Source organism: Homo sapiens, chromosome 4, assembly GCF_000001405.40.
Source record: "Homo sapiens chromosome 4, GRCh38.p14 Primary Assembly".
Classification (NCBI taxonomy): domain Eukaryota; kingdom Metazoa; phylum Chordata; class Mammalia; order Primates; family Hominidae; genus Homo; species Homo sapiens.
Genome location: NC_000004.12, coordinates 127,552,171 through 127,560,050, shown reverse-complemented (window position 1 = coordinate 127,560,050; position 7,880 = coordinate 127,552,171). Strand labels below are relative to the sequence as shown.

Below are 7,880 nucleotides of genomic sequence, written 5' to 3'. Positions count from 1 at the left end.
AACACAGTGGTGCCCAGAAGCTTGGAGATGCCAGAAACTGCAGGGCCCCAAAGAGGGAGTCACAGCCCTGGCTTGGGGAGCTCCCAGGTCTGGGCTTCCTAAAGGGCTGCAGCTCACCTCTTGTTCTTTTGGCCCACATGTGGCAAGCAAGGGGCGTGTTTCAGCCCTGTTTGTGTTGCAGGTTGTCTTTTAGACTTGCCATTTGGCAGGTCCTGAGTTCTTGTCTTGCAACTGGGAAGAATGAGGTATGCAGACAAGTAAAGGGTGAACAAGATGAAGAGGAGATTTATTGAGTGATATAACAGCTTAGAGGAGACTCACAGGGGGCAGCTGCTTTCTGCAGCCAGGGTGTCCTGTTGAATGTTCAACTCCCAGCTGAGAGGGTAGCTCCTCTCTGCAGGCAGGTTGTCCCAACAAGTGTTTAGCTTCCAGCAGAGAGGGTGGCTCCTCTCTGCAGCTGGTCACCCCATTGTCCGTCCAGCTCTGCCTGAGCATGGGGCTTTTATGTGCCTCAGAGGGAAAGAAATGCATGCTGATTGGTCTATGGGCTGCTATGGGTGGGCCTGAAAAAGGCATCACAAGTTCCCACTCCAGTCTGTGGGACTGGGTGCCAAGCCCCCAGCCTTCAGGCCCTCCCTGGCTTGAAGGTAGGGCTTCACTGGGACTGCCCCCTTCCACCTGGGTGCCTATCTGCCTCCTGCCACCATCCATGGTGCCCAGGCTGCTTATGCCAATGGGCACCTGCAGGCCAGCACTGAGCTGCCCTCAGTGTCTCCCCTTGGCTTTCCCCCGACCCTATGCTCATTGTTGCCCAAAGTCAGGAGTGGGCTGAGGCAGCAGGGAACTGGCAGGTTTCAAGTGTGCTGCCCTGAGTGTGTGCACACCTGGATAGGCTGTGACAGTGCCTGAACTCGGCCCCAACCCCACTTCAAAATTGGAGAGTGTGCCAGGAGCAGAGAGAGGCCAGGTGGAGGGAGCAGACACCCCCAAGCCTGCAGGGGCAGTAGGGGCCTTCCCAGGCCCCCCAGGTTGCAGAGTACAGAGATGCCCACATACTGCACCTGGGAGGGCAGGGCTCTTTCACCTGCTCTATGGAGCATGCAGGGATCCCCAGCTGCACTTCCTCACAACCTGGGGTGGGGTCTCCAGGTCCTCGCTGGGCCCCTCTCTGCCCACCCCTCTTTGCCAAACTTATGCTGCTCCCCTGCTGGCAGGCAACTCTGCCCAGCCCCATTGTGGCAGCTACCAGGGTGGTGGGCTCCAAGGAGACTCCTGCTTGTCCCTGGCTCCTGCTGGCTCCATGGAGTGCAGCACCACCCCAGGCCCAGCTCCACCTCATCCCAGCACCCTCCCCACAGTGGCTGTAGGCAAGAGTGATGAGAGTCCAGAGTGAAGGAGGCTCTGGGCCTGGGGATAGGTCCTGCCCTGCCACATGAGGGTAGGAGTGGCACAGCCAGCTGCTTTGGGCATGTGAGGCACAGGGAATCTACACCGCCATTGCTGATCCCACAACTGCTCCTGCCACCACTGCTCACACCTCCCCACTGCAGCTGGCATGATGGCAGCAGCCGATCCTGACAGCCTGCCATGCCATCATGGCCACATGTGGGTAATGAGCACTTGAAATGTGGTTAGTGCAACTGTGGAACTGAATTTTTTATTTAATTAAACTTAAATTTAAATAGCCACATGTGGCTGGTGACTAGTATCTTAGGCAGCACAAGTCAAGACAATACTTTCTGTTGATAATTACCCACTTCCCAAACAGTAAAAACTGGAGGAACAGACAAGAACAAAGCTGGCGAGAGGCCATGCAGCTCAGGTGGCAAAGGCAAACTTGAAGGCTGCTGTGGGTGTAATGAAGGTCCGTGTATCAGTCCGGGCCCAGTCAGGAGAAACCACCCAGTTACTTATTTATTTTTGTTGAGGCAAAACTGACATAATATAAAACTAATCATTCTAGAATCAATAACTCAGTGGCATTTACTATATTTACAAATGTTGTGCAACTACCACTTTTTTCTAGTTTCAAAATATTTTCATCACCCCAAAAGAAAACCCCGCACTTATTAAGCAGTTGCTCCACATTCATTCCTCTCTTTAGCCCCTGGAAGGCACCAGTCAGCATTCTGTGTCTATGGTTTTGCCTGTTCTGGATATTTCATATAAATGGAATCATACAATATGTGGCCTTTTGTGTCAGCTTCTTTCACTTTCTAGCAACACTATTTGTAATAGCCAACAGGTGGAAACAGCCCAAATATCCATTAATGGATGAATGGGAAAAAATTGGGGTACATACATATAATGGAGTATTATCCATTGAAGGATGCTTGAGGCTGGTTCTGAAAGTGTTGGAAGAACCACAAACTGGATTCAACCACTGCTGTGGGAAGGTACTGCTGCTGTTGCTGAACTAGGAAGTAGGAAGACAGCCAATAGAACTAACAGGAAGTGGACAGGAAGGATCATGTCTCTTTTCCCTACTGCAGCCTTACAGTCTGCCCCCCTGTTAGAAAAGCCTGACAGTAGTCGACTGGCAAAGCAGACTGTGGTTTGCAGAGTTCCAGCCCCAGCATCACAAATCAGAGTAAAGAGGGAGTAGTTTGGGAGCTAAGAAACAATAATTAAGAAAGGGCATAGTCCATACAAGAAAAGGACTCTGGGCTGTACTGATAGAGCTTGGGTGTGTAGGGGGGAATGCCGAGATCTCAGATACAGTTTTTTATAACTTCATGGAGTTTCATCCTTACTTTATTCTTTGTTAGATGTAAGAAAAGGATCTACCTGGCCAGTGCACATTGAAATATAATGTACTAACATATTTATATACTTGAATTTTCAGGTAATTTTTTGTTCTTTTCCAGACTGTAAAAAGAAGATGTTTACTGGAAGCTTGTAGTAAAGTTAGAGTAGCTCTGTTCCAATGTTTGACCATTCAGAGAGGAGTCATACCCTTCTTCACTTCACAAGGTATCTCTCACCTTCATTAAAAAAATTGAAATATAATCCATGTCCTGCAGAATTTACCATTTTAATATATACAATTCCGTCATTTTTTAGTTTTTTTCATAAAGTTGTGCAAATATCGCCACTATCTAATTCCAGACTATTTTAATCATCCTTCCAAAAGAGACTTAATACTCATTAAGCAGTCATTCTCTATTCCTCCATTCTCTAGCTCCTAGCAACCACCAATCTGCTTTCTGTCTCTGTGGTTCTGTATTCTGGACATTACCTATAAATGGGATCACACAATATGTGGCCTTTTGTATCTGCCTTCTTTCATGTAACATGATGTTTTCAAGGTTGCTCCGTGTTGTAGCATTTATCAGTACTTCATTCCTTTTTATTGCTAAATAGTGTTCCATTGTGTGGAATATCATATTTACTTCATTCACTCATCAGTTGATGAACATTTGATTGTTTCCACTTTTTGGCTACTATGAATAATGCTGCTATGAATATTTATGTACAAGTTTTTATGTGAACATGTTTTCATTACTCTTGGGTATATACAATGGAGTGAAATTATTGGGTTATATAGTAACTTAATGTTTATCAGATATTTTGACAGATATAGTTTTCAAAATTTTAGCTCTATTTTTCTACTATTTAGGATATCCATGTTTTTGCTGTTTTTTTCCTTTGGATGTTTTGGTAATTCTCTTCATATTTTTCTTTTTCTTTAAAGGAAATAGCACTATATATATATATATATCTTAAATTATATATGTAATTTAATTGATTAATTACAAATAGAAATGCAAAAAGTACAATGTAAACATGCCTCTTAAACTTCCTCTTTAATCTCTAGTGATAACCACTACTACAGTTTTTTGTGTTTCTTTTATCCCAGTTTTTATCTATGTATTAACACACATATATGAGTATCTATGTCTATGTATATCATTTGAATTTTTTATAGTAATAAAATCTGGTTTTATGTAATGTTCAAAAGTTTTCTCACTTAAATCTATATACCTGTTAATGCTTAGAAATCTACCTCTTTCCCGGTTTCTCTTCTACCTCTCTGACCACTCCTTCTCTGTCTTCTTTGCAACCCTTACATATGGGAGTACCTTCAGGTTCAATCCTAGTCTCCTCTCACCTCTTCTCTCTCCTCCTTTTCCTCTTTTATTCTCTGTCTCTTTTTTCTTTTCTCATGTGATATTTTCTCCTTACAAGATGTCATTCACTCTCAGAGTTTCAATTGCCCTTTTATTTTATGACTTGCAAATTTTTATTTTCAGTCCAGATCTCTCTTTTACATTTCAGGTTTGAGTATCCAACTTCTCACTTGATATTTCCATTTCAATTCCATCATGTTCTCCCCTCACAAATCTGTCCTCCGTTTGTGCTCTTGCTTCATAGAATCCAGTTACACATCCATTTAATTTTACAAACCAGACACCCATTGCTCCTGGCAATCCTTCTCTTTAACTTCCCATGTTCAATCCAGTTGATTAAATCCAAATTCTGTTTATCTCCTTACTATCTCTCAAATCTGCCAATTTCTCTCCATTTCCACAGACATGGTGCCAGTGTTTCACCTGTTCAGTTTCCTATCTGGTCTCTACACATCCACTTGGGCTTCTAACCAAATCCTTCTCCTCAATGCAGCCAGAATTATCTTTTAAAATTTAAACTAGATTGTGTTACTTTTCTACTTAAAGCCTTTCAGTGGTTTCCCATGACTCAGAGTTTTTAGTCTTGCTCTACTTACCTCCCTTTCTTCATCTCCTGGCACTTTCCCAGCTCCTGGGCTTCAGCCACACCTGTCACCTTCTGGCAATAGGGACTTGCATATGCTGCTCTTTCTGACTGGAATGTTCTTCCCTTTCTTTTACCAACTGACCCTAAATCAGTAATTACCTTCTCAGTGTAAGTCTAGATCGGGTTCCTTAGTGTTATAGGCCCTTATACAATAGTGTTTCCTTTAGACTTTTAGTTTGTTTGTAGTTATAAATTTATTAGTGTGCTGATTTGAGTCCTTCCAACTATAATTGTGTCTTCTTTCGAGCATCTTTAATCCTCAGTACCTCAAACAGTCCTGGTACGAATGACTGTTGAAGGAGCAACTGCATAATATTACATAGTATGTATATACCGTAATATATTTCATCAGTTTCTTACTGAGGGATGTGTAAGTTGTTTCTACATTTTCTCTATTAACAAATATTTTGTATAAGCCTTTAAAAGGCTAGTTCAGAACATGATATTTTTCCTCTCATTAGATGTTCATGAAGTCAAGTGTTTTGAGGAAAATGTTAGTGCAGCCTGATTGCTTTAACATTTTCTTGCACTACAGAAGAAACAAAGCAGTTATTGTATATTAATAAAAGTTAAACTATTTATTTACACATGAATAGTACCAAATGTGGTAAGAAAATCAATAACTAGTGAATGAGAATAATCAAGAGAAAGAAATAACAGAAAAATATAAACATTTTATTTTTAACCAACAAAGATATATACTTTATTTTTTTTTGATTCAAAGTTTGAGTAATCATTGCTACTAAGTTCTTGGCATGAAACCTACTTGTTATCTTTTCATGGGTTGGCCACAGCTTGCAGGCTACCCATATTTTCAATCTTGTTGGGATTATTTTGACTTAACTAGGTTAAAAGTATACACAGGACTACATCCAAAACTATGAAAACTCATAAAAGAGTAAGGCAATAGATATTAAATTAGAACATCTATTTTCTTTGATTTAGATATCCCTATTTTGGGGACTTTATCTTATATGATAGAAGCACCAGTATCAAAACACATATATACAAAGATATTAAACCAGCATTATTTGTAGTGGCCAAAATGTTGGAAAAAAACTGTATGTTCACAAATAGAGTGATTGTTGGATTATTTATAGAACAGTTATACTATGTGTTGATTATGCAGTTATTAAAAATACATTTGAGGTAAATCTGCTAATCCAGAAGGATATCTGTGATCTATTATGTTTTGGAAAATTCTCCAAAACTTAAAAATAGGGCAAAAAAGATGATCTTAATATCCTGCTATAACATTTTCTAACAAGCCACTGTAAAGGTCATCTAGCTCTCACCATGGGAAAAGAGACGGTTTCACTTAAATTTTAAAACTTGGTAAAGCTAGAGGTTAACTTGCAGAAATGTAATAAGGTGCAATTTTTTTTTTTGTATAGTAAAAATAACTCCAAATGTTATGATTTTATTCCCCTATAGGACAGTGGTCAATTTTATATTTAATCTAGCAGTTTTATTTAAGGTATTCTTTTTTTCACTGTTAATATGAATATAAATTCAAGTTTCTCATTCAAATTGAATCAATCTCATTCTGCTAGTTTCCTCATTAATGAGTCAAATAAAATTTTGACATGTGCCCATTACTATTTGTGTGGGACTTTATTATTATTATTATTTACCAATATGAGAATTAAGTTTCAACGATTATTAAATGAGAAAGGCAAATTGCAGAGTAATGTGTATAGATTGTTTATACAATTGTATTAGTCTGTACTCATGCTGCTAATAAAGATATACCTGAGACTGGGTAATTTATAAAGGGTTTAATTGACTCACAGTTCAGCATGGCTGAGGAGGCCTCAGGAAACTTACAAACATGGCAGAAGGGGAAGCAAACACATCCTTCTTCATATGATGACAGGAAGGAAAAGTGCTGTGCAAAAGGAGGAAAAGCCCCTTATAAAAACATCAGCTCTCATGAGAACTTACTCACTATCACAAGAACTGCAGCATGGGAATAACACCCCCATGATTCAATTACTTCCCACCAGGTTCCTCCCACAACAAGTGGGGATTATAGGAACTACAATTCAAGATGAGACTTGGGTGGGGACACAGCCAAACCATATCATTTGGCCCCTCCCAAATCTCATGGCCTCACATTTCAAAACCAATCATGCCTTCCCAACAGTTCCCCAAAGTCTTAGCTCATTTCAGCATTAACTCAAAAGTCCATCTGAGTTAATGCTGAAATGAGTTTCAGCATTTTCAGTTAATGCTGAAACTCATCTGAGACAAGGCAAGTCCCTTATGCCTATGAGCCTGTAAAATCAAAAGCAAGTTAGTTACTTCCTAGATAAAATGGGGGTACAGGCATTGGGTAAATATATGCATCCCAAATGGGAGAAATTGGCCAAAACAAACCAGGTGCAGGCTCCATGCAAGTCTGAAATCTAATAAGGCAGTTGTTAAACCTTAAAGTTCCAAAATGATCTCCTTTGACCCTTTGTCTCATATTCAAGTCATGCTGATACAAGAGATGGGCTCCCATGTCCTTGGGAATCTCCACTCTTGTGGCTTTGCAGAGTATAGCCCCTCTCCCAGCTGCTTTCATGGGCTGGCATTGAGTGCCTGAGGCTTTTCCAGGTACATGGTGCAAGCTGTCAGTGGATCTACCATTCTGGGGTCTGGACGATGGTGACCCTCTTCTCACAGCTCCACTAGTGGAGCTAGTGCCCCAGTGGGGACTCTGTGGGGGCTCTAGACCCCACATTTCCCTTCTGCACTGCCCTAGCAGAGGTTCTCTATGAAGGCTCCACCCCCGCGGCAAACTTCTGCTTGGACATCCAGTCATTTCCATACATTCTCTGAAATCTAGGCGGAGGTTCCCAAACCCCAATTCTTGATTTCTGTCTACCCACAGGCTCAATACCAGGTGGAAACTGCAAAGGCTTGGGGCTTGTATTCTCTGAAGCAATGACCTGAGCTGTACCTCAGTCCTTTTTAGCCATGGCTGGAGTGGCTGGGATGCAGGGCACCAAGTCCTGAAGCTGCACACAGCATGGGGGTCCTGGGCCCAGCCTAGTAAATCATTTTCCCTCCTAGGCCTCTGGGCCTCTGATCAGAGGGGCTGCTGCAAAGGTATCTGA

General features: G+C 41.5%; 2 annotated features.

Moving 5' to 3' along the window:
- Positions 2,589-2,758: an enhancer, noted in NCBI's record as "experimental_73515 CRE fragment used in MPRA reporter constructs". NCBI's record gives its function as "activates a minimal promoter by MPRAs in K562 erythroleukemia cells, with activity observed for both the introgressed and non-introgressed 4:128478533 or rs72621866 variant alleles {active_cell/tissue: K562}" and the evidence as "EXISTENCE:reporter gene assay evidence [ECO:0000049][PMID:34662402]".
- Position 2,673: a transcriptional cis regulatory region, noted in NCBI's record as "Neanderthal adaptively introgressed variant 4:128478533 (GRCh37/hg19 assembly coordinates) or rs72621866 in the experimental_73515 CRE". NCBI's record gives its function as "modulates activity of the experimental_73515 enhancer by MPRAs in K562 erythroleukemia cells {active_cell/tissue: K562}" and the evidence as "EXISTENCE:reporter gene assay evidence [ECO:0000049][PMID:34662402]".